This window comes from Homo sapiens, chromosome 10 (assembly GCF_000001405.40).
Source record: "Homo sapiens chromosome 10, GRCh38.p14 Primary Assembly".
Taxonomy (NCBI): Eukaryota; Metazoa; Chordata; class Mammalia; order Primates; family Hominidae; genus Homo; species Homo sapiens.
In genome coordinates, this window is record NC_000010.11 from 13,093,235 (window position 1) to 13,120,571 (window position 27,337).

The following is a 27,337-nucleotide window of genomic DNA, read 5'->3' on the forward strand; positions in this document are numbered from 1 at the left end:
GAAAAGCACATCTTACATGGCGGCAGGCAAGAGAGAGAATGAGAACCAAGTGAAAGGGGTTTCCCCTTATAAAACCATCACATCTCGTGAGACTTATTCACTACCATGAGAACAGTATGGAGGAAAACACCCCCATGATTCAATTATCTCCCACCAGGTCCCTCCCACAACACACGGGAATTATGGAAGCTACAATTCAAGATGAGATTTGGGTGGGGACACAGCCAAACCATATCACCAGCCAAGTATTAAGTCAACCTCTACAGAAGGAAGAGGCTTAAATTCAAATTAATTTGGCATCTACTAAAATTGTATACCAAATATAAGAAATGAAAAACAAATTCTAATTTTTTTCAAGCTGGAGAGAAGCTAAGAGGTTATCTATCTTAGCCCCTGACTTCCCTCACTGATGAAGAGGTCAAGGCCTAGGGGTGAGTTCTCAGGTAGGGCCGAGGTAGCCTGATACCCAGGTCTCTGTGTCCTCCCTCACTCCACCATGCACTTTTTCAGAGAAGTGAGACACCTTAGTTTGGAAAAAAAATAAGTGAGATGGAAAAAAGACAAATCACTTGTACTTTCCTACTACTGATCAATTATTTAATCCAAAGAAGCTAAAACTATGTCTAAAATTAGACAGCCAGGCCATTTTTCACTCCTCAGGCATGCAAAGAAGATAATGATAGTATTTTTCAGACAATGACGAGGAACTGTGGTGCATTACAGTGATTATTTTCCCAAATCACCAGCTCTGGCTAATTAATACTTAAACAGAAAATTTTGCTAAAGGAACTCATGACAGTTTTGTAGCAAAACAAGGAAGCAAAGACTTAACATTTCATCGGTGCTGTGCTTTGATTTGGTACAAAAGGCGGCAGGGATTAGACAGGTTCTAATGGGACAGGCATAGGAAGTAATTAATAAGCAGCATTCTTATCTATTATTTACAGAGGGCCAACCATAACCTAAGGGGTAAATACCTGGCTCTTTCCCAGTGAGTTTACTTTTCAAGATGATGATGATGATGATGATGATGATGATGATGATGATGATGATGATGATACTCACCCAGGCTGGAGTGCAATGGCACGATCTCGGCTCACTGCAACCTCCACCTCCCAGGTTCAAGAGATTCTCCTACCTCAGCCTCTAGTAGCTGGGACTATAGGCGTGTGCCACCATGCCCAGCTAATTTTTGTTTTTTTAGTAGAGATGGGGTTTCACCATGTTGACCAGGATGGTCTTGATCTCTTGACCTCATGACCCGCCCACCTCAGCCACCCAAAGTGCTGGGATTACAGGTGTAAGCCACTGTGCCCGGCCTATTTCAAGATTTTTAAACATGAGGCAGGCCCGGCACAGAGAGTTATGTCTGTAATTCCAGCACTTTGGGAGGCCGAGGTGGAAGGATCACTTGAGGTCATGAGTTTAAGACCAGCCTGGGCAACATGGTGAAACCCTATGTCTACAAAAAATACAAAAATTAGCCAGGCATGGTGGTGCATGCCTATAGTCCCAGCTACTTGGCAGGCTGAGGTGGGAGAATTGCTTGAGCCCAGGAGTTCGAGGCTGCAGTGAGCCACGACTATGCCACTGCACTCCAGCCTGGGTGACAGAGCAAGATGCTCTGTCAAACAAACAAAAAACATGGGAGGAAGGAGAGGAAGGAGGAGCTTAGCACAGCACACACACCGTGAACAGGCTTGTCTCAAAGCAGAGCCATGGTCCCTGGGACTCTGGGTACTTGGCTGAGGCTGTAGGTTGGACCCTAATCCCAGAGCCTCATTCTGATGGAGGCTTCAACCATACACCTTGCTTCTCATACAGGGAGTTGCTTTCATGCTGGATTTCAGGGAAAGGAAAGCAACCTATTAGAGGCATAGACACGCACCTGTTTGAGTCTCTGTTTTCAGTTTCTTTGGAGTGTACACCTAGAAGTGGAATTGCTGGGTCATATCATAACTCTCTGTTTAACTTTCCAAGGAACTCATCCTCGGAATATTTGGAACCAGTGATGAACTGAATCAAACTAAAGCTGAGACAAAGTCCAGACCAAGGTCAACCATAGGGCAGATGATTCATGCAGCGACCACACCAGTGGCCTCACAGGAGCAGGGGCACACCCTTTGCTGCAGCAGTCCCCAACATTTTTGACACCAGGAACTGGTTTCATGGAAGACAATTTTTCCATGGATGGTGGTGGGTGGGGGGGTGGTTTTGGGATGAAATGGGTCCACCTCAGATCATCAGGCATTAGAGTCTCATAAGAAGCACGCAACCTAGATCCCTTGCATGTTCTGTTGACAATAGGGTTCACGCTCCTATGAAAATCTAATGCAGCTGCTGATCTGACAAGAGGCGGAGCTTAGGCCATAATGCTCACCCACCCGTTGCTCACCTCCTGCTGTTCGGTCTAGTTCCTGAGAGGCCACAGGCCAGTACTGGTTCACCACCCGGGGTTTGGGGACCCCTGCTTTATTGGACATAATTATTAGGTCGTGTTCTTTTTGGTGGTGTTTGTACAGCTCTATTGAGGTATAATCCACATGCCATAAAATTCACCCCATTTGTAAATGTATGATTCATGGCTTTCAATTACACTTAAAAAGTTGTAAAACCATCATTACAATTCAAATTTAGTATATTTCCATCATCCCCCAAAAATCCCCTCGAGTTCCTTTGCAGTTCAAAGCCACCCCCAATTTCAGGCAACTACTGGTCTGATTTCTGTCTTTTTCTACTTTCCTTTTCTGGACATTTAATGTATATGGAGTCATAGCATATGTAGTCTTTGGCATCTGGGGTAGCAAGTACGAATATTAGTCTACCACCTCAGATGCACATAAAAATATTACATATCTTTTCTTTTCTTTTCCTTCCTTCCTTCCTTCCCTCCTTCCTTTCTCTCTCTACTTCCTTCCTTCCCTCCTTCTTACCTTTCTTCCTTCTCTCTCTCTCTCTCTTTCTTTTTGGACAGAGTCTCACTCCATGGCCCAGGCTGGAGTGCAGTGGCACCATCTTGGCTCAGCGCAACCTTTGACTCCCAGGCTCAAGCAATTCTCCTGCCTCAGCCTCTCAAGTAGCTGAGATTACAGGCACGCACCACTACTGCCTGGCTAATTTTTATATTTTTAGTAGAGATAGGGTTTCACCATGTTAGCCAGGCTGGTCTTGAACTCCTGACCTCAAACGATCCTCCCAAAGTGCTGGGATTACAGGCGTGAGCCACCGCCCTGGGCCTCTTTACTTTCTTTAAACCCAGTTCTGCAGGGGTGTACGGAAACCTATTTTCGGGCACCACTGGGGTCTGGAGAGGGGAGGTCTCCTTCCCTACGGCCATGCAAAACTCCAGGAGGGCTTTTGGTACCCATTGAAGTAAGGGCCATTTATTTTTCAGCCCAGCAACATTGCCACTGATACCCTCATTATCAAATGGTTCTTCTAGGGAACAGTCTCTGCTGTTTCCAATGACAAGCCTGGGCAGCAGAATCTGCGGGAGGTTCCCAAAGTCCAGTAGGTGCATCCCAAGAGCTTGCTGTCTGTCTGGGTGCTGCAGGGACTGAGGCTTGAGTCCTTGATGCTCATAAGACCACCATCCCACTCCTCCTCCCAATCTGGGGGCGGGGGAGTCACTCCTCCCTCCAACTGTTGTGAAAGCCTCCACCCCACCCAGCTCTGGCTCTTCCTCCAGGACATCTGGGGTAGATCATGGATGTATTGAGATCAGGCTTTCTCAAAAGACAAGAAGAAAGGCTGTACTTCTAAGAGCTGTTGCCAGGAGTCCAGCCAACGCTCCTGAAGGTAGGAAGCCCAAAGGGACTCGTTGCTAACTCCAAACAGAGGAGATTGGGGTGGAAAGGGAACACAAGGAACATCAAACCCAGATTAGGATCTCACTAAAAACCTTCCCACACTGCTCTACATTTACCCACCACAAAACCACATCAACAAATCAGCTAAGAGCATGCTATTATTTCAGTTTTTTCGCTGCATTTAGATTCCATCTACCCATGGAAGTGTGCAGGAAGATGGAGTCACCAAACGGGATGATCCAGGCTAAGAAACAGAACCGGCTCTAACACAAGCAACAGCAACAAACACCATGAGCCAGGCGTTCTTCTAGGTGTTGAAGACGTATTTCCTCTTTAATCTTCTCAGCATCCTTAGGTGAGGGCTGTGGGTCCAGAGGCCTTATCTAAAATTTTTGGGTGGCTGGGCACCGTGGCTCACACATGTAATCCCAGCACTTTGGAAGGCCGAGGCAGGTGGATCACCCGAGGTCAGGAGTTCAATACCAGGCTGGTCAACATGGCGAAACCTCATCAATACGAAAAATGCAAAAATTAGCTTGGTGTGGTGGCACACGCCTGTAATCCCAGCCACTTGGGAGGCTGAGGCAGGAGAATCACTCAAACCCAGGAGGTGGAGATTGCAGTGAGCTGAGATTATGCCACTGCACTCCAGCCTGGGCAACAGAGTGAGACTCCACCTCAAAAAATAAAATAAAACCTTTGGGGCAAGCTCTGCTTTAGAGTCCAGAATTCTGGGGATTTTCAAAAGGCTATTCAATAAATGGGATTTATATCACATAACACCCTGACACTGTCTGACGCAGTTCTCCTATCAACTATTCGATTTTCCTTCACAAAACAAATTTAAAAATCACATCAAGGGATCTAAATAAAGACTGTAAATAGCTTTCCATCAGTTGGGTCTGGTCAGAAAAGAGGTTTGGTCCTTAGAACTTTCTGGATTTGGGAGTGTACTATACTCCCCATTTTACAGATAAAGGGAATGAGGAAGGGTAAGATGAAGTAACTTGGTCAAGGTCCTACAGCTAAGAAGTGGTTGTCGGGGGAGTGTGTGTGCATGTGTGTGTGCAGTGCTTCAGGGCACCCCCCACCCCGACCCCACCACTGAGAGCAAGGAATCAGGAGAAAACAACTTTGACTGCTTTCTGTACCAGAAACTCACCTCGAGCCTCCCACACCAAAGCCATGGGCAGCTTGTGGGTGACCTTCTTCTCTTGGCTCTGAGTTTCACTGATGCTCATTTTAATTCACTTTCATAGTGTTGTTTTGTTCTCGTTTTTGTTTTTGCTTGAGACAAAGTCTCCCTCTCACCCAAGCTGGAGTGCAGTGCTGCAATCACAGCTCATTGCAGCCTCTCCCTCCTGGGCTCAAGCGATCCTCCTGCCTTGACCTCCCAAAGTGCTGGGATTACAGGTGTGAGCCACCGTGCCCCACCTATAGGGTTTTAAACAGTAAAAGGAGCCTAGTGAAGTACGACTTACCGCAGGCACCCCTTACAGGCCCCGGGGGGACCCTTTTCTGCCGATCCCAGGGTACAGCTGTGACACCGTCTTTTCTGCCTGGATTATCCCAGTAGATAAACAAAAATTAGAGATCGTCATTCCATTTCTCTCTGTATATATTTTTCCAAGCCCTTTTCATGAATGATCAGTTATTTCCTGCACTGATTTTTTTTTTTTTTTTTTTTTTTTGAGACGGAGTCTCACTCTGTCACCCAGGCTGGAGTGCAGTGGCATGATCTCGGCTCGCTGCAAGCTCTGCCTCCCGGGTTCAAGCGATTCTTCTGCCTTAGCCTCCCGAGTAGCTGGGACTACAGGAGAGTACCATCATGCCCGGCTAATTTTTGTATTTTTAGTAGAGACAGGCTTTCACCATATTGGCCAGGCTGGTCTCGAACTCCGGACCTTGCGATCTGCCTGCCTTGGCCTCCCAAAGTGCTGGGATTACAGGCGTGAGCCACCGCGCCTGGCCCTCCTGCACTGATATAAAAAGAATTTTTTTAAATTCTCTATTTCTCCCCACTCCCACCCCCAGGCTCACTCCTTATAAAGCAGCCTCTAGCCTCATCTGCCCCTCCTACACCACACCAACTCGAGGGCCCGGAATTGGGTCTGGGGCAGTCGCTGACTTGCTTGCTTCTCTGCCCTGCTCTTGGGGTTAGCCTCAGGGGCAGGGTTGAGAGTCAGGCTTGGCCAGGCAGCAGGAGGTCCAGACAGCGAAGCAGAATCCTTCGGAGATACCAGGAGAGGGCGCATCTGCCTTTTTCCTGTTTCAGATTAGGTTTTGTTGTTGTTGTTTTGTTTTTTTTCTCTCCCTCTCTCCCTCCCTCCCTCTCTCCCTCCCTCTCTCCCTCTCTCCGTCCCTCCCTCTCTCTCTCTCTCCCCCTCCCTCCTTCCCTCCCTCCCATCCCTGCAGCGCTACCCGGGTACTCTGGATGCACATAGGGCGGCTCTCGCTCCTACCTTGTCATCCTGCTGTCTAATCCGGGGGCAGCTTCCCTCCTCCACACCAGCAGAGGCTATTCTTCAGCAACAAGAATAGCCGAGCCTATTCGTCCGCAACAAGAGCCCAAGAAGCATCCTGCAGGCTTTCTGCTTTTTGAGTGTATTTTAAAGCAAAAACGAGTGGAAAGCTATGTATGCTCAGTTAACTATGTCTAGATGTTAACCTTTTTTCAAAAAACACAGATGGAGGCCTCCCTCCGAGGATGCCTGGCATTCTCCTCTTTCTGTGGGCGGCAGCGACCCCCTGCGGCTCCAGCCTCCACTACGGGATCTGCGGGAAGACACGGGGAAGACGAACTCCGCACACTGCATTTGATTAATGATTTATTTTGATTAACGCCGTCACAGTGACGCCTTAGAGCAGTCCCTGTTCACCCGGGTCCCAGCCTCGACCCCGCACGGACAGCGAGGGTGGGTAGCTGGGGGCGGACGCAGGAAAGAGGAGGGGCGGGGCCTTGGTCGGGTGGGGTATGGAATGGGCAGGGTGGGGGGGATGGGCGGGGTATGGGATGGGCGGGGCCCGGGAAATTCCCCGGCGCGGGCAGGGAGCGGCTGGCTGTCAGCTGAGCCGCGCTGGGCGGGGTCGCCAGGCCGCGCATCAGCCCTAGGCACCCCAGTCCCGGCTGCCCCCTCCGCCACCGCCGCCGCCCGCCGGCAGGTTCCCTGGTCAGCGTCCCATCCCGGTCGGGAGTTCTCTCCAGGCGGCACGATGCCGAGGAAACAGTGACCCTGAGCGAAGCCAAGCCGGGCGGCAGGTGAGCCAGGGCAGGGGGCTGCAGCGGTGGGCGAGGGGGCGGCGGCTCCTTCCCGGCGGGCGCTTCCGCGGCCTGAAAACGGTACCCGCCGCCCTGCCCCGCGGCCCGGAGCCTGTCGGGGTGAGGGTGGCGAGGGGTGGGGCGGCCCTCCCGCGAGACGGCTGCCCTGGGAGGATCCCCAAGCCTCGGCGGGTCCTGACCTGGTGGGAGAGGGTGGGTAGTGAACACAGGGTGGGCCCAAGAAGGGTCCAGGGCCGGCCTCTTGGCCGCAGGTAACCCCTCTACAAGTCACCCAGAGACTTGGAGGTGACGTCCTCCCGCAGGCTGGGAAGGATTCCGCAGCCAGTTCCTCGCCATAAGGAGGTGGTTACAGACACGCCTGTGGGAGACATGGGACCACTACCCGAGCTGAATGAGGTGCCCAGGGTCGGTGGGAATCCACATAGACTGCTGTGTCTAGGAGAGTGTGTACACTCTATATAGAGAGAATATTTGATGAGGCCGAGAACCCCAAAGGAATTGTTTTTGCCATCGAAATGCATAAGCTACAGGAAGTAAACATCGCTCAAAGAAAATGAAACCCAGGTTCCGACCTGGCCTCCACCAGCAGGAAAACTGTTGTATGGAAATGTACACCAAGGAACTGTTTGTAAGGATGAAATGGAAAATGAAAGCATAGAAAAGTAAGGCAATGTGAGGACCTCAGAAGCCTTTGGATCTGGTTAGCAAGGTGCAGGCTGTGTGAACAGAAGAACCCACCTTGCTCTTTTGACCCAGGGAGAGAAGAGTTAGTGGTGCCAGGCTGCCTCCCAGGACAGGCCCAGTTTTGGGGCGGGGGCTGGAGAAGTCCCAGGGCAGACCCCAAGGCCAGGGATTGCCCTGGAGTGGACAAGGCAAGTTTAAATGTGACCTGTAGACAGAGGACGATCATTGATTTAAGTCCTGGCATAATTCATCTGTTTTTCCACTGGGCCAATTTTAGGCGTTCTTTATATATTACGTACAACACAATAAAAGTAACAGCTTCTTTTTTTATAAACTAACCTTTAGGTTGCATATTATGCTAGGAATATAACTAACCTAACCTCCACCCCCCCACCCCCCCACCCACCCCCGGAAAACCAAACTTTATTCTCGAGGGCAACTGGACACTGTATTATGTCCTGCCGAACCCCCGCCCTTACTTAGGTAGAGGCGCATAAGTATTCTGGCCATGAAATACACCTTCTGTTTTATAGAGATTTGGCATATTTGATATATGTTCTTTGGAATTTATGAAATAGAAAACCCAAAGGAAAAAGAAAAAAATTAAACTTTTTTTTAAAAAAATATTTCATTTAGAAAGAAAAAATTAAAAGTTTTTGTTATTTCCACTTTGACATGTGTATGAGGAGCATTAGAATCTGTGTTATGAAGTGATACCCAGATGGCTTTGCAGTGACAGAAAACACTTCTAATTTTTCAAATAAGTTAGAAAGGAGGATTTTGAGAATCTGGAAGTGAATGCCGTGGAACTGTGGAGAAACTCCTAACAATACTGGCATGCTGAGTTTGTCACCTACACAGCAGAAAGCATTTTACAGGTATTAGACTTAAAAATACCTCATTATGCTATATTTTCATTTCATTTCAACCAACATTTACTGCAAGCCTGCTATGTGCCAGTCTCTAGTAAGAATAACATGGAGAGAAAATAGACGGGCAGACGATAGCAGTAATTTCAGAATGGGCGGAGGAGGTGGAAATGCAGAGTGTTCTTGGGTGCTCGGAGTAGGGAACAGTTCATATGACACAGGACATCATATTTAAGCTGGACATTGATCTGTCCAGTGGAAGTTTGCCAGGACACAAGGGGAGCCAGACATTTCGGGCAGAGGGCAGAAGGGAGGCAAGGACGCAGAGACAGAAGAATGCAGGGAACCGTGAGCTCTTTAACGTGCCTTGGGTACGAGTGTTTTGGTGGCAGGAGGTGACTCTGGTGGGTCAGTTGGGCCTGGGCCCTGAAAGGCCACGTTTGTCTTGTTAAGAAACTGAAAGTCTGTCGTGTATGGGAAGGGTGGACTCAGGGGAATGACCTCATATTGCAAAAGAAACCATGAGGGCAAGAGGACTGAAATTGACAGGGCTGAAAGCCAGTCATTTAGGAGGCTGTTAAAATGTATTCAACAGATATTTACCGAGTCCTGCCTTCTATGTGGCAAGTAATGTTCTCAGTCCTGGGGATACAGCAGTGGACAAAATAGGCAGAACCCCTGTCCTTTGTGGAGGTCAACATGGCTGTGGTACAGACAAGATAAGGGCCTGAACTAAGCCTGTGGGGATGGAGAGGAGGCAGTGGATTTTAGAAACACTTAGAAGGGCCAGGCATGGTGGCTCATGCCTGTAATCCCAGCACTTAGGGAGGCCGAGGTGGGTGGATCACTTGAGATCAGGAGTTCAAGACCAGCCTGGCCAACGTGGCAAAACCCTGTCTCTACTAAAAATACAAAAATTAGCTGGGAATGGTGGCATGCACCTGTAATCCCAGCTACTTGGGAGGCTGAGGTGGGAGAATTGCTTGAACCTGGGAGGCGGAGGTTGCAGTGAGCTGAGATTTTGCCACGGCACTCTAGCCTGGGCGACAGAGTGAGACTGAGTCTTAATTTAAAAAAAAAAAGAAAAAATAAATATTTAGGAGGTAGAGGTGATGGCATTTGGTGACCCATTAGACTTGGGGAAAAGGGGGCTGGGAAGAATCAAGCCTTACTCCCAGGTTCCTGCCTTGGGGAGCTAGGTTAAAGCTGCTGCCATTTTCTGTATATTACTAAAATACGAAGTCACAATATCCCTTCTAGTGTGTAATGACGAGGCTGCTTTTACCCCATTAGTAGGATGCATACTCTAAGTTCTTTTTCCAAGGTGGGAAGGGTTTAGTCAATGCAATGTTAGAATCTTACCCCCCTTGTGAACCCAAACTCTTCATAGCATTTGCCAGTAGCCAACTCTTGTCTCTGGTCAAAAAGCAAGTTTTCACTGTTTAAAACTCATTTATCCCATGTAGGGATTGAACCTACGAATACTTCATTAGCAAATTTGAAGACTTGGCCATACCAGGGCAAGGGCCTAACCTTATACTATGTGCAGTGTCCACTGGGGGGAAGTCAGTGTAAGGCAGGTACCATTTGACACATTATGACTTTCTGACCACTAGAGCCATCCCACAGTGGAACAGACAGTGCCTGCTAAGGTCACTGCACTCGTGCTCTGTCATTGAAATACTCAAGCCTGCTCTATAGGATCATGTGCCATCGAAACCAGACAAGACATTCTTGCATTGAATATATTGGTCTGGATCATTTCTAAGGCCAACTCAGCAATCAGATGTATGCTCGTGTTTACAAGGTCAGGTCATTACTAGAATTACTTGATCTCTGGAATTTAAATGTATATACACACACATGCACACACACACACACACACACACACAATCAGGAATTGAGATAGCAGATCTGGGAATAAAATCTAGGGGACTTGCTTTTGGCCATCCATCTACTAGGCAGTCCTCAGTCTTCCTCATTGGTGGAATCTTGACAAATCCTGTGCTCAATTAATTCATCCTTCCATCATTAAATATCACTTTTGCCTAGAAATAACATACTTCACATCTAGGTCAGTTGATTATGGGAAACTCTGTTATTTGATAGAATCTTAGAATAAATGGCTTAGTTCCAATTTCTGTAACCTTCGAAGACATGTGCAAGGATATGTAATGTATCTCTGTCTTTCCTCAGTTGAATGTAGCTCAAGGTGATGTTAAAAACAGAGAATGAAGCTTTCTGTAACTGGCATTCCACCGACAGATATTTCATATGTGCACTGCACAGTGATAGCTCATAGTGATGTCCTAAGATAACCTAAGAATTATGAAGTGCCCTTTGAGTCATCCAAAATCAGTTAAATTAGTTTTTTTTTCTTTTTTTTTTTTTTTTTTTTTGTGAGACAGGGTCTCACTCTGTCACCCAGGCTGGAGTGCAGTAGCATGATCTTAGCTCACTGCAACCTCTGCCTCCCAGGTTCAAGCGATTCTCATGCCTCAGCTCCCGAGTAGCTGGGACTACAGGCATGCACCACTACACCCAGCTACTTTTTTTTTTTTTTTTTTTTACTATTACAAAATTTATTTAACAAAAAGTCTAATATGAAAATGTACATGACCTAACTTTTACATCATAGTAAAACAGGCCCTATGGAGAGAGGACATGGGTTTCTCTGCTGAACAGCCATTTTTTATACTCATTCCAAGGCTTCTAACATGAGGATACTGTTTCCTCGTATTACCACCATTCCAGTATTGTTCTGTTGCCCACTAGTCGCCATCTCCACACATTCATCTATCACAAGATTCATAAAGGGATCAAGTCCCTGCAATATTCCTTGGACGTGTCTGCCACCATTTAATTTCAATGATAACTTCTTGTCCATAAATCCCTTCTAGCCATCTGGTTAGAACATGATGCTATTCGAGATGTTCAACAAAAGGTGGCATTCGAGATCTTCAAGGAACGAAGAAGGGACAGCATGGGGGTGACCAGGGGCCCGACCGCAGGACCGGGAGGCGAGTCGGCCAGAAAGAGGTGCAGTGGCTGCTGGTGGTAACTACGCCGACGTGCGAGCTCTGCTACTAATTTATGTATTTTTAGTAGAGATGGGATTTCACCATGTTGGCTGGGCTGATCTCAAACTCCTGGCCTCAAATGATCTGCCCACCTTGGCTTCCCAAAGTGCTGGGATTACAGGCATAAGCCACTGCACCCGGCATCAATTAAATTACTTTTAGTAAAATTTTGGTATTAAGTATTTACATGCTTATATTTACCGTTTATGCTAACTTCTTATGTTTGATGACATTTGAATTACAAAATATTTTTTCTAACAATACACAATATCACAGAATTTGCTGTCATTAGGACAGTTATAGCTATTCATGAGAGTGACTGGCCTGCCCGTGATACTTGGTGTATATGCATTGAAGGGTGGGGTTTAGATTGTGGTCTTTCTAGAAACTAAAGAATATTTTTCACAGAGTTCATAAGGATTATCATTTGCTGGATGAGTCAATAAATACCACTAGAGGTCATGTGACTTCCCAAGGCCACACATCTGGCTAATGGTACAAATGTTTTTTTCTGTGGCCTCCCTTAGCACGACCCCACTTTTTTCCTCGTATGCTTATAAAATCCGGGCAATGTGAGAAGTCAGAAACACTGATGTAACAACTAGAACCAGTTTTAACTTTATTATGGTGGTATCTGTAGGCTTGGTGGAGGCATAAAAGGTCATGGAGGGGCCCGGCACCGTGGCTCAAGCCTGTAATTCCAGCACTTTGGGAGGCTGAGATGGGTGGATCACCTGAGGTCACGAGTTCAAGACCAGACTGGCCAACTTGGCAAAACCCTGTCTCTACTAAAAATACAAAAATTAGCCGGGTGTGGTAGCACATGCCTGTGATCCCAGCTACTTGGGAGGTTGAGGCAGGAGAATCACTTGAATCTGAAAGGCAGAGGTTGCAGTGAACTGAGATTGTGCCACTGTACTCCAGCCTGGGCGACAAAGTGAGACTCTGTCTGAAAAAAAAAAAAAAGTTCATTGAGGAAAAAAATCTTAACAGTTTTCAAAGAAACGTCTCTCTCTTTTCTTCCCTCTCTTCTCCCCTCCCCTTCCTTTCATTTTCAGAAAAAAAGGAGAAATTTGTGCATATAATAAGATGAAACCAAACACACTTCTAAAAATCTGCTTAGATCCTTTCTTTAAAAAAATCTGTTGAATATTTTCATGGCCTTTGCAAAATATAGTATAATCACTGAATACCTAAGAAAAATTAACTGTTGGCAAGTAAATGATACAGATGACAAGGATTTTCTCTTTTAGGTCTATTACCTAGAATTTTAGTATTCCTCTGCAAATTAGGTAGGAACACTGTTACTCAGTAAAACCCTATTTTAATGAGATGATTCTGGGTACAAAAAAATGAATTTTACAGAAAATTAGAAACTGATGGTCTATTCAGATTATTTTTGTGAGAAGAAGAGCAGTCTGTTCTAGTCACCTAATGCTAAGCTATGGAACACTTCTGCATTATACCTGTTTTCTAAGTGAATTTGGGTGTGTGACACATAGATACAAAAAGTTCAAAAATGAATCCTATGGTTTATCAGTGTTTTCTGCTTCGTAAGATTGCCATCACCCTCATTACATGACTACATGAGAATGCCCCTCTTGGTACTAGCTCTTGTAGGAAGAAGTGGCACAGGCTGTACTGTCACAGGGTGTGGTAGGTAGCTCTGTCTCTGATTACCTACAAGTTCCTCACACCAAAAGGAGGTTACCAGGTATTGCTTCCAGAAGATCTACAGAAAGCCCAAGGTATTGCCTCCTGTGGCCAAGGACGCAACACCACAGTGGTGCATTTTGTTTTATTTTAATTGATGGCTATTAAATGCACACATAGATATCATGACACAGTTACATGTCAGAAACAGGCAGTGCTCTTATCTCTATCTTCCAGGGACTGATATCATGTGTAATGGATTCTTCACAACTCAGGGTTCACACAGGCTCCATAGTCATGAGTGGCTGATGGATCTCATTGAGACCAGTGCCTTTCCCCCGTTAGAAATGGGATGCTCGCTTCCAAGTTCTCTCCTCACCCCTTTTGTGCATGCGTGGCTTTCTGCCTGATCACAGTTGTATAGTGTACATTGGTGCTTAATACCTATTTATTGGATAGATGGATTTTAAATTATTTTCTAAGGTCCAGGAGCAGTGGCTTATGCCTGTAATCCCAGCACTTTTGGAGGCCGAGGCCAGCAGATCACCTGAAGTCAGGAGTTCGAGACCGGCCTGGCTAACATGATGAAACCCCGTCTCTACTAAAAATACAAAAATTGGCCAGGCATGGTGGCTGACGCCTATAGTCCCAGCTACTTGGGAGGCTGAGTCAGGAGAATCACTTGAACCCAGGAGGTGGAGGTTGCAGTGAGCCGAGATCGCTCCACTGCACTCCAGCCTGGGCAACAGAGAGAGACTCTCAAAAAACCAAAACAGTCTTTTTTTTTTTTTTTTTTTGAGACTCTGTCGCCCATGCTGGAGTGCAGTGGCACGATCTCGGCTCACTGCAAGCTCTGCCTCCTGGGTTCACGCCATTCTCCTGCCGCAGCCTCCGGAGTAGCTGGGACTACAGGCACCTGCCACCATGCTTGGCTAATTTTTTGTATTTTTTTTATTAGAGACAGGGTTTCACCGTGTTAGCCAGGATGGTCTCGATCTCCTGACCTCGTAATCTGCCCGCCTCAGCCTCCCAAAGTGCTGGGATTAGAGGCGTGAGCCACCGCGCCCGGCTCAAAAACAATCTTCTAACAGTAAACATCCTGGAAGTAAATAATATGCTTTTTCAGGCATGTCTCTGGACTTTGGCCATTCTTGACCTTTGTAGAATGCGTGTGTGGGCCATGTGTACACAGCGTCAGCGGGGAGGAGTTGCCTTTGCTATGTATTGCTTTATAATCTATCCCCATCAGCTCTTGAAGAAAATACATCATTTTCACCAAGTGTGAAGGTGGAAATTTGTGCTGAAACATGTTTGCCTGGGTGGTTGGTAACACAGAAGCAGAGTGGGGATTTACTCATTGGTCTTGCATTTCTATGTCCACATGGATGCCTCTACAAAACAAAATGATATGTGTAAAAAAATTTCAGACCATGCAATACCTAAAGATATCTTAGTCTTTTCAGTATGCATTGAAAAATAGACTATTAAAGCCTAAGTACTCAGTAATATAACTTTGTTGTTTTACAAGGTGTGGCTTTGATAGCTGGTGGTGCCACTTCCTGGCCTTGGATGAGCCGTACGCCTCTGTAAACCCAACTTCCTCACCTTTGAAACAGCTGCCTGGTTCAGCATTAATGAAGATTAGTCAGTGACAGGCCTGGTGTGCTGAGTCCGCACATAGTAAGCATTCAAAGAATGTTAATTCTCCCTTTCTTCTTAACCAAAAACACAATAAACTAAATATAGGTTTTAAAACAGCTTTTTTGAGATAGAATTCACTTACCATGCAATTTACTTGAAATAAGGAGATTTGAATTTGAAGATTTGCATGGGAAATTTTTTTCATGATACCTTGCCCATGTCTACATATATCCTGATCATCATGATGTCATACCCTCGTCTCCCTCCCCCATTTCCCAAATCCTTATTGTACCCTTTTTTTTTTTTTTTGGTTTGAGACGGAGTCTCGCTCTGTTGCCCAGGCTGGAGTGCAGTGGCGCGATCTTGGCTCACTGCAAGCTCTGCCTCCCGGGTTCACGCCATTCTCCTGCCTCAGCCTCCCGAGTAGCTGGGACTACAAGCGCCCAACACCAAGCCCGGCTAATTTTTTGTATTTTTAGTAGAGACGGGGTTTCACTGTGTTAGCCAGGATGGTCTCAATCTCCTGACCTCATGATCTGTCCGCCTCGGCCTCCCAAAGTGCTGGGATTACAGGCGTGAGCCACCACGCCCGGCCCTCATTGTACCCTTTTATACACCCATACACACACACGCACACACACACATGCACACATGCGCGTGCACACACACACACACTTTTCTGAAGCTACATATACCTTTTTTGTTTAAAAGGAAGAATCAAAAATGTCCAAAATGTAACTGGAGAGAAAGTGGGCAACTTTTGGAGTAAGTATTAGCAATCGCCAATGGGTTTGTGGGACTCCCGGGGACCCCTTGTGGGGCGGGGGACAGCTCTATTTTCAACAGGTGACTTTTCCACAGGAACTTCTGCAATGTCCCATCAACCTCTCAGCTGCCTCACTGAAAAGGAGGACAGCCCCAGTGAAAGCACAGGAAATGGACCCCCCCACCTGGCCCACCCAAACCTGGACACGTTTACCCCGGAGGAGCTGCTGCAGCAGATGAAAGAGCTCCTGACCGAGAACCACCAGCTGAAAGGTGAGCAGGGCTGGCCCCTGTGTGCCCCATTCATCCTGGGCCTGCAAGAAATGCCATCCCTTTGCACTAAGGCTTGGTGGTGAGCTCCCTTCTCCCCGTTTCCATAGGTGGTAGCTGGTGGGGAAGCACAGGATTTAGCATTTGGCAAGGCTAAATCTGTTCTGATTTTTACTTTTGGAAACAGGTACAAGTAAAAACTGTGTGTATCTCAAGGAAGTAGCATAATGATATTTAGCCCATTCAAAAGGAAAAAGAGGCTGGGCGTGGTGGCTCATGCCTGTCATTCCATCACTTTGGGAGGCCGAGGCAGAAGGATTGCTTGAGTACAGGAGTTCAAGACCAGCCTGGGCAAGATGGCAAGACCTGATCTCTACAAAAAAATTAAAAAAAAAAAAAAAAAGCTGGGCGTGGTGGTGCACGCCTCTGGTCCTAGCTACTGGGGATGCTGAGGTTGGAGGATTGCTTGAGCCTGGGAAGTTGGAGCTGCAGTGAGCCATGATCGTGCCACTGCACTTTAGCCTGGATGACAGAGAGAGACCCTGACTCAAAAAAAAAAAAAAAAAAAGGAAAAAGGAAGAAAGGCTGCTATGGTTCCAGAGTTAGTCCTATATATTACCTTATTAAGAGAAAGCATCCTGGTATCTCAAGATGGCTTTGGGCAGGACCAGTATTTGAATCTAGGAGTAGTAAGAACTTCCTTAGCTCCTAGTAACCATAGATATTTAGATATTTGTGCTGTAGTGGCGGTACCCAAATCCACTTTATTTTCTTGGGATTTTTAAGGACTAGAAATGATGTTCATCCCGCTAGTCTTTTCTGTAAGCAAAAACCACTTCGTCTTTTTGCTGCTGACCCTTGGGCCAAGGCTAAGCATGGCATCTTTCAATTCAGAGCCATGTGGTCAAGTGGACTAGAGGGAGATTTGGTTCATCAGATCAAGTCCACTTTCCTGGTGTGTGACTCCATCACTCTGAACCTCCTGCAGAAGCCATGAAGCTAAATAATCAAGCCATGAAAGGGAGATTTGAGGAGCTTTCGGCCTGGACAGAGAAACAGAAGGAAGAACGCCAGTTTTTTGAGATACAGAGCAAAGAAGCAAAAGAGCGTCTAATGGCCTTGAGTCATGAGAATGAGAAATTGAAGGAAGAGCTTGGAAAACTAAAAGGGAAATCAGAAAGGTCATCTGAGGTGAGCAGACCGATCCATTGTGATGTTGTTTTTTTTTTTTCCCTTGACATTTGCAGTGGAATCTTACGTGTCTAGACTCCTAGATCAAAACCTTTCATGGTTCAGTCTGGATTGGTGTTTTGCCTGGTCTTGGAAGAAGTGCTTTTGCTGAAAAGATTGGTTGCCCTATTAAGGGTCATGGATAATCTCTTTTAGAAGAAAGAAATTTGTAAAGCTTTGACCGTACTGATTGTAGGCAAAAGAACAGTAAGGTTATAAATCATTGTATTGTATTCATTATAGATGGTGCAGATGGGCCTCTGCCTAGAACCAACAATTGTTTTTAGTTTGTCTTTGATATAAAAAATATGTTTAAAAAACCCATTACTCAGAATTTTTACTTGTTGACCTTGTCTGTTCTCTCAGTCTAAAATGGAGATTATTCACTTTACATTTTCCTTTTTAAAAATGCTTTGGAAAATGTCATGTTGTGGTAGGAGGCTATCGCATTGCCACAGATGAAAAGAGAAAGAGACACATTTTTCTTAACCCAAAGAACCTGGAAAAATGTGCTCATACCTGGGAGTGGATGTCAAAGATGATAGTAATGACACAACCCAGAACAAGTTTGAAATCCCCACTGGGCGTGGTTTGTTAAGGAGTCCTCTGCTGTCCATGCCAAGTGTGGGGAGAATGGGTGTGGGTGGGCTTTGATGGGAGGAAAAGGGCAGGAGGTTGGGTGGTGGGAACGTTTTTTCCTTCCTTTCTGGAATTTTAGACACAGCTTATGAGTCCACTGTTGCCAAAGTGTGGTTGATTATTTCTATGATATCAGATTATTCCAGCATGGCAAGGAAGGCTTTCTTTCTTGTCATGAAGTTACTTTAAATTTTGATTATTTGAATACAATAAAATAATGTAAAAATTTCCATTTTAAATGTTATGTCAAAATAAATCGTGGGCTAGGCACGGTGGCTCACACCTGTAATCCCAGCGCTTTGGGAGGCTAGGGTGGGCAGATCACCTGAGGTGAGGAGTTCGAGACCAGCCTGGCCAACATGGCGAAACCCCATCTCTACTAAAAATACAAAAATTAGCCAGGCATGGTAGTGCGTGCCTGTAGTCCCAGCTACTTGGGAGGCTAAGGCAGGAGAATTGCTTAAACCCGAGAGGTGGAGGATGCAGTAAGCTGAGATCGCGCCATTGCACTCCAATGGGCGACAGAGTGAGACTCTGTCTGGGAAAAAAAAATTGTCAGGTAAAAGCTGAAATTTTCTACATTAAAGCACAAGGCATAAAGGTGTTGAGAAACTTCCTTGTCAGTAGGTGTGGGGGCAATTGAGTCTCATGGCCAGGTCCTTAGTTTGATTTGTATTTGTTTTTTGACTGTTTTTTTTTTTTTTTTTTTTTGAGATGGAGTCTTGCTCTGTTGCCCAGGCTGGAGTACAGTGGCATAATCTCGGCTCACTGCAAGCTCCGCCTCCCAGGTTCACGCCATTGTCCTGCCTCAGCCTCCCGAGTAGCTGGGACTACAGGCGCCCGCCACCACGCCCAGCTAATCTTTTTGTATTTTTAGTAGAGACGGGGTTTCACTGTGTTAGCCAGGATGGTCTCCATCTCCTGACCTTCATGATCCGCCCACCTCGGCCTCCCAAAGTGCTGGGATTACAGGCGTGAGCCACCACGCCTGGCTTGGCTTTTTTTTTTTTTTTTTTGAGACAGGGTCTTGGCAGTCTTAAACTCCTGGGCTCAGGCAGTCTTCCTGCCTCAGCCTCCCAACTAATGGGGACTACAGGTGTGTGCCACTACACCTGGCTAATTATTAAATTTTTTGTAAAGATGGGGGTCTTGCTATGTTGCCCAGGCTGGTCTCAAAATCCTGGCCTCAAGGGATCCTCCCACTTCAGCCTCCCAGAGCTCTGCGATTAAGGGCATGAGCCCATGGTGCCCAGCCTTAGTTTGATCTGTTCATTCACTTTACTCCTTGTCATCTCCAGGACCCCACTGATGACTCCAGGCTTCCCAGGGCCGAAGCGGAGCAGGAAAAGGACCAGCTCAGGACCCAGGTGGTGAGGCTACAAGCAGAGAAGGCAGACCTGTTGGGCATCGTGTCTGAACTGCAGCTCAAGCTGAACTCCAGCGGCTCCTCAGAAGATTCCTTTGTTGAAATTAGGATGGCTGTGAGTTTTTGGTTTTATTTTTGTTTTGAGCAAACTATAAAGCCTCCCCTGGAAAGATGAAACAAATACCACTTTTTCTTGTCAACACAAGCCAAGGATTGAGGAAATTCCAGTGTAGCAAAGATAAATTGGCTCTCATTTTCTAAGTATAGCATAATGCATGTAAGGGTTATCATAGCTAAAATGGAAAAATATTAATTACCTTTTATGATGAAAGCTGTAGTCTTTTTTTTTTTCTTCATCATGTCCTGGCAAATTGAACATTTTTGTGACCAGAAAAGGAAAAAACCCACACGAACATGAACTTTCTGTCATTTTTCAAACTAGGTCTCAAAGCTGTATTCCGCAGTTCACTTAAGGGAGCGCAAACATATTTTCACAACAGAACCCTCTTTTTTTGTTTTGAGACAGAGTCTTACTCTGTCTTCCCGGCTGGAATGCAGTGATGTGATCTCGGCTCACTGCACCCTCTGCCTCCGGGGTTCAAGAGATTCTCGTGCCTCAACCTCCCAAGTCGCTGGGACTACAAGCGCATGCCATCACACCCGGCTAACTTTTTGTATTTTTAATAAAAAAGACAGGTTTTTGCCATGTTGGCCAGGCTAGTCTCAAACTCCTGGCTTCAAGTGATCCACCCGCCTCGGCCTCCCAAAGTGCTGGGATGACAGGCGTGAGCCACCGCGCCTGGCCAACAGAACCTTCTTTTCAAACAAAGTGGTATGAGGAACCCTGATACATTAAAAAGAAGAAGAGGAGAAAAGAAAGAGCAGAACTGCTCTGGTTGTAGGTTGAGGGAGTGTCCTGGCTTTTCCTTCCCTTTCAAAAGCAGCTACTCAGGAGCCTCTGAGAACTGAGTTTGAAGCCATTGCTATCAAAATCAAATTTCTCTGCAACCCCAGATGAAGTGGGCTAAGCGAGGGGGCCCTAAGCTCTTGAGAAGCATCTGTTACAACTGTGCCTGGGCATAGGGGCAGCCCTATTGAAGAGCAGAGCAGGTCGATGCACCAGCTGGGGGCCTGTCCTTCATTGCTACTAACAAAGATTAGACAGGGAGAAAGATAGACAAGGATAAAATCCTCTGTAGTATAGATGGTCACTTTCGATGAGTCAGAGTACATATCTGATACAGGAAAAGGGACTGGCCGGGTGTAATGGCTCACGCCTATAATCCCAGCACTTTGGGAGGCTGAGGAGGCAGGATCCCTTGAGCCCAGGAGTTCAAGACCAGCCTGGGCAACCTGGCGAAACCCTGTGTGTACATAAAAAAAAAATACAAAAAGTTAGCTAGGCACATTGGCACACACCTGTACTCCCAGCTACTCAGGAGGCTGAGGCAGGAGGATCACTTGAACCTGGGAGTTTGAGATGCTGCAGTGTGCCATGATTGTGCCGCTGCACTCCAGCCTGGGTGACAGAGCAAGACTCTGTCTTTAAATTTAAAAAAAAAAGAAAAGAAAAAAAATTGTGTCCTTGGAAGAGAAAAATGTACATTGTAGATAAGTCAGGAGGAGTGGGGAACAACTTGCAAAAAAGCTCACCTACTGGTTATATCTGAAATATGAATGTCTGACTGTCTTTGCTTTCTGATTTATTTGCTGCAATAGAGTTAGGAAACAGCTCTGAATAACCCTGCCATCCATTCCCCCTCATACATTTCAGTGGCCAAAATCAAGATAATTAAAATGTCAATTGAAAAGCGTATTTTGCCAGAGTACCCCTTCTGCAAGTGATCGAAGATTACTGAGACAGAAGTTTAACCAAAGAAACTTACCCTTCTGTCAATAACCGATAAGCTGCAGGAAACCCAACAGCATATGAGAAGTTTCCAGATGAAGCTTCTTCCTTCAGGGTGCATGGTTAGCATCTCATTCTCCCTGTCAGATGAGTGACAGTTATTTTTAGTGTAAACACGTTTTGCATGCGTTTCTTCTGTGAACTGGAAAGCACTGCCCAAGATTTAGGAAGAAACATCAAAAATATCTAGAACCCCCATGGCCCCAAGCAGAGAAAAAATATATGTATCTATGTTTTTTATAATAGATATATCTGTATTTATATTATATAATGAATATATAATATATTCTATAATATATAATGTAGAATATATTCTACAATTATATAATTGCATATATAATTATATAATTATATAATTATATAATTATATATACATATATATAATTATATAATTATATAATTATATAATTATATAATTGTATAATATATTCTACAATTATATAATTGTATTATATACACTTACATATGTATCTGTATTTTTTATAATAGATATATCTATATTTATATATATTTATATATAGATATATCTATATTTATATATATTTATATATAGATATATCTATATTTATATATATTTATATATATAGATATATCTATATTTATATATTTTTATATATAGATATATCTATATGTATATATATTTATATATATAGATATATCTATTTTATATATTTTTATATATATTATATATATATATAAATTTATAATATAGATATATCTATATATTTATATATAGATATATCTATATTTTATATATATATTTATAGATATATCTATATTTATATATATATTTATATATAGATATATCTATATATATCTATATTTATATCTATATTTATATAATGAATACATATAATATATTCTATAATATATAATATATAATATAACATAGAATATAGAATATATTATACAATTATATAATTGTATAATATATATACACTTATATATGTATCTGTTTTATAATAGATATATCTGTATTTATATTATAGAATATATATAATATAGAATATATATAATATATTCTATATTATATAATATAGAATATATATAATATATTCTATATTATATAATATAGAATATATATAATATATTCTATAATATATAATATAGAATATATTATACATTATATATTATACAATTAATATATAATTACATATATAACATTATATATTTATATAATATATATTTCTATATCTAAATATCTAAATATATTATATATATATTTATACGTATATACCTAGAACTATCTTTGTGCATTTTTGAAGATTTTCCCTGGGAGCTTATTGGAATATAAATGTCTTTCAAATCCTGTGGGTCTTAGACTATCTTGTTCCCTAAGTGACCTGTGGTGCATACAAATTTCTAATGGGAACCAACTTGGCCAAGATGGTGCTTTGTGAATCTCATTCACAGAAACTGCCTCTTTTTTAACTTTACCTCAGTGAGTTCTAGCATTTTGCATTTTAAAGGAAGGATATGTGGAGTTGTCACCAGCTCTGTATGACCTTAACCTTGAGAAAGAGGGAACTGCCAAGGAAAGGGAGGAGCAGATAAGCTTTCATGTTTACAGAGTCAGGTAGAATGTGTATGGCGAGATGAAACTGACCTTCACGCCTTAGCTGGGATATTTATAATCCCGACAGGGCGTGCCAGGTGAGGGGAGGGTACGTTTCCATTTCCTCTGAGCCACCCCGTTTAAACAGTGCACATCTGAATGTTTGGAAGCTTCCTTGGGTTGCATGTCACAAAAATTCATCTTTTGTCTTTTTCTTCTTTTGACAAAGAATTTGTCTTGTAGACATATTGTGTTAAATCCCTTGCATTTCTGTTTTCACAGGAAGGAGAAGCAGAAGGGTCAGTAAAAGAAATCAAGCATAGTCCTGGGCCCACGAGAACAGTCTCCACTGGCACGTATGTGAAGGAAGACTCGGGCTGTCAGGCAGACAGGCTGGGCAGGCTCGTCACTGGGTGCTTGTCACCGGAGGTCAAATGTTGTGACCTGAGGAAGTAACTTCTTTATGATTTATACCAGGATCTTTCCAGAATATTTGGTTTGAATGCTATTTAATGTTGCAGCTCAAACTGGCAAAGATTAAAAACTGTTTGGTTCCTGTTTGGCTCACACTGACTGCTCTGTTCTAGTGGTGTCTCACCTCCAGCAGATGAAAAGTGAAAGCAAACTGGTTCTCAATCAAGTCAATGATTTGTTCCTAATCAAAGACATGTTTGCTCATTGGTTCCCCGGTGCCATTTGACCCAGACCAGCCTGCCCAGCTTCCATAAGTGAAATATTTTCATTTTCTTTTCCCTGCTACTTCCCAGTTATAAGCTGGCATGGCCAATACTGGAACATCTTTTGTAACAATGACTGATAGCACTCTCAGTCATTGTGGGTGTTGCCTGAAAGTGCCCAGATTTCTTATCTGTGGAGTCTCAAGTGTACCTGTCCTATGTAGATGTGAGGAAACAGACATCTTAAATAGTGGCAGGGCCTTGGGGAGGGAGGCAGACCTAGAACTGAGCGCCTGAACCTCTTGACTCTCGCAAAGCAGTGCTCACCAAGGAGACTGCTAGCTCGCCTTCTGCAAGCTGCTTACTCCTGTAATCATCTATTCAAGAGACGATTGTCTGAAAAGAACTCTAAGGATCTCTTTTTTTTTTTTTTTTTTGAGACGGAATCTTGTTCTGTTGCCCAGGCTGGAGTGCAGTGGCGTGATCTCGGCTCACTGCAAGCTCCGCCTCCCGGGTTCACGCCATTCTCCTGCCTTAGCCTCCCGAGTAGCTGGAACCACAGGCGCCCACCACCATGCCCGGCTAATTTTTTGTATTTTTAGTAGAGATGGGGTTTCACCGTGTTAGCCAGGATGGTCTCGATCTCCTGACCTCGTGATCTGCCCGCCTTGGCCTCCCAAAGCGCTGGGATTACAGGCATGAGCCACCGCGCCCGGCCAGGATCTCTTATCTCACAGACGGATAAGAGATCCATCTTTTTTTTTTTTTTGAGATGGAGTTTTTTTTTTTTTTTTTTTTTTTTGAGATGGAGTTTCACTCTGCCACTGAGGCTGGAGTGAAGTGGCGCAATCTCAGCTCACTGCAACGTCTGCCTCCCGGGTACAAGCAGTTCTCCTGCCTCAGCCTTCCGAGTAGCTGGGAATACAGGTGGCCGCCACCACGCCCAGCTAACTTTTTGTGTTTTTAATAGAGACAGGGTTTCACTGTGTTGACCAGGCTGGTCTCGAACTCCTGACCTCAGGTGATCCTCTGGTCTCAGCCTCCCAAAGCGCTGGGATTACAGGCGTGAGCCACTGCGCCCAGCTATCTCATAGATTTGTAAAACCTTCTTTGTATAACTTGATGAATGTGCATATAGAATGACTTACAAAACGTGAAAAAAATTGTCTTCCGTTATGTTTCTAAGCCCTTGTATAAGGAAGAAAGTAAGTATTAGATAATATTCTTTCGTCAAACACAGTAATTGGCATAAACGAAAGTAATTCCCTTTTTTGGTTAACAATTCTTCACGTTTCCCCCAAATTGCTTTTGTCATATTTAAAGACGTTCCTGGAAGTAGTGGGAAATAAAAAAGCCCTGGTTGAAATATCAAAGCCACTTCCTCATCATTCATATCCAGATGCAAAGACCGCTTCCTCTTTTAAGCCACATGGCTATTTTTAAAATAACAGCTCTGTACCATTTGTGAGTATCGTAATTAGTTTGAGATTGATTTCCAGGTTTGGAGTTGAAGCTTCAGAGTCCTGGAAACCGGGATTTAATCCTGGCTGTTTATTAGCTATGCGAACCTGAGTCGGTGACTGAAAGAGTAGCTGCCGTTAGCATCATCATAGTCATCCCTCATGTTTTGTAACAGTGATCATGATTCTGTTTGTCACTGATATGTCTCTTGATTTAGTCAGATTTTGAAATCGAGAAAAATACTTGACATATCAACAGAGCCTCCATTTCTCTGCTCTCATTATTTGAAACCACAAGTGAAAAAGGTTTTCTCCCCTTGACTTAAGCTGTGATGGTCTCTGTTAACTTGGAGAAAGGCCAGTGGTCTGTACAATGTGCCTTTATCTTTTGTCTGACTGCAGTCCCCTTTGAGACTAGATCTCTGGAAAGCTTGGCACCTTCAGCCACGGCTGCCTCTGCTGAACTGTTCCGTGAGTTTTGTGGTGTGGTGTGAGGTACACAGTGACTGTTTGGAGGACGTGGGTGTGTGCATTGTAAGCTGGCCTCTCCAGAGCCTCACTGAGTCTCCACACCTTCCCTAGGAAGCATGGAGGAGCTTGGCACTGGGGGTCCCAGGACCAGCTGTGCTTGTTCACTAGTTGAGAATTAGTTGGAGAATGTTCTGGAAAGCAGTTCCTTTAAGCTGGTCCCAGTTATATTGGGTTACTCTCTTCTTAGTCTTTGGAATTTTTCTGATGAAAACCTTTTAACCTTTATACTGAACAGGGCATTGTCTAAATATAGGAGCAGATCTGCAGATGGGGCCAAGAATTACTTCGAACATGAGGAGTTAACTGTGAGCCAGCTCCTGCTGTGCCTAAGGGAAGGGAATCAGAAGGTGGAGAGACTTGAAGTTGCACTCAAGGAGGCCAAAGAAAGGTATGAAATAGGTTAACTTGAAATATGTGTTTTTTTAAAACAGCTTTCCTGAGATATAATTAAGATACCATACAGTTCACCCATTTAAAGTATACATTTCAGTGTTTTTTAGAATATTCCAGGATTGTGCAACCACTGTTACTACAATATAATTTTAGAACATTTTTTCCCCCAAACAGCACTCACTGTCTGCTCCTCCAAGCAATGTGCTTTCTGTCTCTATAGATTTGGCCATTCTAGACATTTCATATAAATGGAATTATACAGTCTGTGGTTTTTTGTGACTGGCTTCTTTCACGTAGCATAATGTTTTTGAGGTTCATCTACAACGTAGCATGTATCAGTACTTCCTTTTCCTTGCTGAATAACCTTCCATTGTCTATATATACAACATTTTGTTTATTCATTCATCAGTTGATAAACATTAGAGTTGTTGCCACTTTTTACCTATTAGGAATAATGCTGCTATGAACAGTGTGTACAAGTTTTTACTGGGATATGTGTTTTTAATTCTCTGGGGTATATCGTTATGGGTGGAATTGCTGGGTCATACGGTATCGCTATTTCATATTCTAAGGAACCAGCAAATCATTTTCCAAAGCAGCTGCGCCATTTTGCATTCCCACCAGCAGTGCATGAGCATTCCACTTTCTCCACGTCCATACCAACACTTGTTTCTTACTGTTTTCACTTTGACTTCAGCCATCCTAGTGGATGTGAATTGGTATCTCATAGTTCTGATTTGTATTTCCCTAGTGACAGCGATGTTGAGCATCTTTTCATGTTGACCGTTTGTTTGATTTGGAGAAAAGTCTATTCAGAGCCTTTGCCCATTTTTAAAAATTGGGTTATTTGTCTTTTTATGTTGAATTATAAGAGTTCATTTTACATTCTGGATACAAGACCCTTATTAAATATATGATCTGCAACTATTTTCTTTCTTTTTTTTTTTTTTTTTTTGAGACGGAGTCTCGTTCTGTCACCCAGGCTGGAGTGCAGTGGCGCAATCTCGGCTCACTGCAAGCTCCGCCTCCCGGGTTCACGCCATTCTCCTGCCTCAGTCTCCCGAGTAGCCGGGACTACAGGCGCCCGCCACCACGCCCGGCTAATTTTTTTTTTTTGTATTTTTAGTAGAGACGGGGTTTCACCATGTTAGCCAGGATGGTCTCGATCTCCTGACCTCGTGATCTGCCCGCCTCAGCCTCCCAAAGCGCTGGGATTACAGGCGTGAGCCACCGCGCCCGGCTGATCTGCAACTATTTTCTCCCATTCTGTGGATCGTCTTTTCCCTTGATGGTATCATTTGCAGCACATTTGTTTTTATTTTGATGTAATACAGTTTATCTCCTTTTTCTTTTGTCACCTGTGCTTTTGATGTCCCATCTGAGAAACCGTTGCCTAACCCAAGGTCACAAAGATTTACTCCTATGTTTTTCTCCTAAGAATTTTGTAGTTTTGGCCTGGCGCGGTGGCCAAAATTACAGTTGGCCACCGCACTCCAGCCTGGGTGACAGAGTGAGACTCTGTCTCA

At 44.3% G+C, this 27,337-nt stretch overlaps 2 protein-coding genes and 1 pseudogene across 5 annotated transcripts in view, besides 18 other annotated features; 1 reads left to right on the forward strand and 2 right to left on the reverse strand.

Annotated features, from left to right (window-relative positions):
* The window catches only part of CCDC3 (coiled-coil domain containing 3), a 203,365-nt gene extending 196,610 nt beyond the window's left edge, over window positions 1-6,755 (reverse strand). The window contains exons 1-3 of the mRNA NM_001282658.2: window positions 6,272-6,755; window positions 5,850-6,075; window positions 5,291-5,368 (exon numbers count right to left, since the gene is read on the reverse strand). The gene's annotated coding sequence lies outside the window, so the exon portion shown is untranslated. The remainder of the gene's footprint in view (window positions 1-5,290; window positions 5,369-5,849; window positions 6,076-6,271) is intronic.
* Window positions 5,477-5,780: a mobile genetic element, noted in NCBI's record as "direction; reverse".
* Window positions 5,733-5,769: a non allelic homologous recombination region, noted in NCBI's record as "10p13 CCDC3 proximal Alu-mediated NAHR sub-region, recombines with the 10p13 CCDC3 distal Alu-mediated NAHR sub-region within the 10p13 CCDC3 distal Alu-mediated recombination region". NCBI's record gives the evidence for it as "EXISTENCE:nucleotide sequencing assay evidence [ECO:0000219][PMID:26740941]".
* Window positions 6,205-6,264: a silencer, noted in NCBI's record as "silent region_2149". NCBI's record gives its function as "represses an Ori minimal core promoter by ATAC-STARR-seq in GM12878 lymphoblastoid cells {active_cell/tissue: GM12878}" and the evidence as "EXISTENCE:reporter gene assay evidence [ECO:0000049][PMID:35858748]".
* Window positions 6,735-7,304: a silencer, noted in NCBI's record as "silent region_2150". NCBI's record gives its function as "represses an Ori minimal core promoter by ATAC-STARR-seq in GM12878 lymphoblastoid cells {active_cell/tissue: GM12878}" and the evidence as "EXISTENCE:reporter gene assay evidence [ECO:0000049][PMID:35858748]".
* The window catches only part of OPTN (optineurin), a 38,227-nt gene continuing 17,737 nt past the window's right edge, over window positions 6,848-27,337 (forward strand). The window contains exons 1-8 of one of the 4 annotated variants that reach the window (NM_001008211.1): window positions 6,848-7,068; window positions 14,904-15,055; window positions 15,728-15,781; window positions 15,863-16,054; window positions 17,040-17,242; window positions 19,219-19,401; window positions 23,033-23,106; window positions 25,654-25,806. In NM_001008211.1, the coding sequence (NP_001008212.1) occupies window positions 15,889-16,054; window positions 17,040-17,242; window positions 19,219-19,401; window positions 23,033-23,106; window positions 25,654-25,806 (779 nt within the window). In that variant the 5' untranslated portion in view covers window positions 6,848-7,068; window positions 14,904-15,055; window positions 15,728-15,781; window positions 15,863-15,888. The remainder of the gene's footprint in view (window positions 7,069-14,903; window positions 15,056-15,727; window positions 15,782-15,862; window positions 16,055-17,039; window positions 17,243-19,218; window positions 19,402-23,032; window positions 23,107-25,653; window positions 25,807-27,337) is intronic. The other 3 variants (NM_001008213.1, NM_001008212.2, NM_021980.4) reach the window with 3 other exon arrangements.
* Window positions 7,585-7,714: an enhancer, noted in NCBI's record as "active region_3049". NCBI's record gives its function as "activates an Ori minimal core promoter by ATAC-STARR-seq in GM12878 lymphoblastoid cells {active_cell/tissue: GM12878}" and the evidence as "EXISTENCE:reporter gene assay evidence [ECO:0000049][PMID:35858748]".
* Window positions 11,206-11,726, reverse strand: SNRPGP5 (small nuclear ribonucleoprotein polypeptide G pseudogene 5; annotated as a pseudogene).
* Window positions 15,311-15,611: a mobile genetic element, noted in NCBI's record as "direction; reverse".
* Window positions 15,311-17,433: a biological region, named in NCBI's record as "10p13 OPTN distal Alu-mediated recombination region". NCBI's record gives its function as "recombination_partner: LOC107275223 | LOC108903149".
* Window positions 15,475-15,480: a non allelic homologous recombination region, noted in NCBI's record as "10p13 OPTN distal Alu-mediated NAHR sub-region a, recombines with the 10p13 OPTN proximal Alu-mediated NAHR sub-region a' within the 10p13 OPTN proximal Alu-mediated recombination region". NCBI's record gives the evidence for it as "EXISTENCE:nucleotide sequencing assay evidence [ECO:0000219][PMID:22402017]".
* Window positions 15,990-17,433: a meiotic recombination region, noted in NCBI's record as "this region was identified as a recombination hotspot within the HapMap CEU population". NCBI's record gives the evidence for it as "EXISTENCE:nucleotide sequencing assay evidence [ECO:0000219][PMID:20981099]".
* Window positions 16,310-16,626: a mobile genetic element, noted in NCBI's record as "direction; forward".
* Window positions 16,344-16,356: a non allelic homologous recombination region, noted in NCBI's record as "10p13 OPTN distal Alu-mediated NAHR sub-region b, recombines with the 10p13 CCDC3 medial Alu-mediated NAHR sub-region within the 10p13 CCDC3 medial Alu-mediated recombination region". NCBI's record gives the evidence for it as "EXISTENCE:nucleotide sequencing assay evidence [ECO:0000219][PMID:22402017]".
* Window positions 16,391-16,402: a non allelic homologous recombination region, noted in NCBI's record as "10p13 OPTN distal Alu-mediated NAHR sub-region c, recombines with the 10p13 OPTN proximal Alu-mediated NAHR sub-region c' within the 10p13 OPTN proximal Alu-mediated recombination region". NCBI's record gives the evidence for it as "EXISTENCE:nucleotide sequencing assay evidence [ECO:0000219][PMID:20428114]".
* Window positions 18,182-18,472: a mobile genetic element, noted in NCBI's record as "direction; forward".
* Window positions 18,182-19,013: a biological region, named in NCBI's record as "10p13 OPTN proximal Alu-mediated recombination region". NCBI's record gives its function as "recombination_partner: LOC108903148".
* Window positions 18,263-18,274: a non allelic homologous recombination region, noted in NCBI's record as "10p13 OPTN proximal Alu-mediated NAHR sub-region c', recombines with the 10p13 OPTN distal Alu-mediated NAHR sub-region c within the 10p13 OPTN distal Alu-mediated recombination region". NCBI's record gives the evidence for it as "EXISTENCE:nucleotide sequencing assay evidence [ECO:0000219][PMID:22402017]".
* Window positions 18,611-18,913: a mobile genetic element, noted in NCBI's record as "direction; reverse".
* Window positions 18,776-18,781: a non allelic homologous recombination region, noted in NCBI's record as "10p13 OPTN proximal Alu-mediated NAHR sub-region a', recombines with the 10p13 OPTN distal Alu-mediated NAHR sub-region a within the 10p13 OPTN distal Alu-mediated recombination region". NCBI's record gives the evidence for it as "EXISTENCE:nucleotide sequencing assay evidence [ECO:0000219][PMID:20428114]".
* Window positions 23,315-23,524: an enhancer, noted in NCBI's record as "active region_3050". NCBI's record gives its function as "activates an Ori minimal core promoter by ATAC-STARR-seq in GM12878 lymphoblastoid cells {active_cell/tissue: GM12878}" and the evidence as "EXISTENCE:reporter gene assay evidence [ECO:0000049][PMID:35858748]".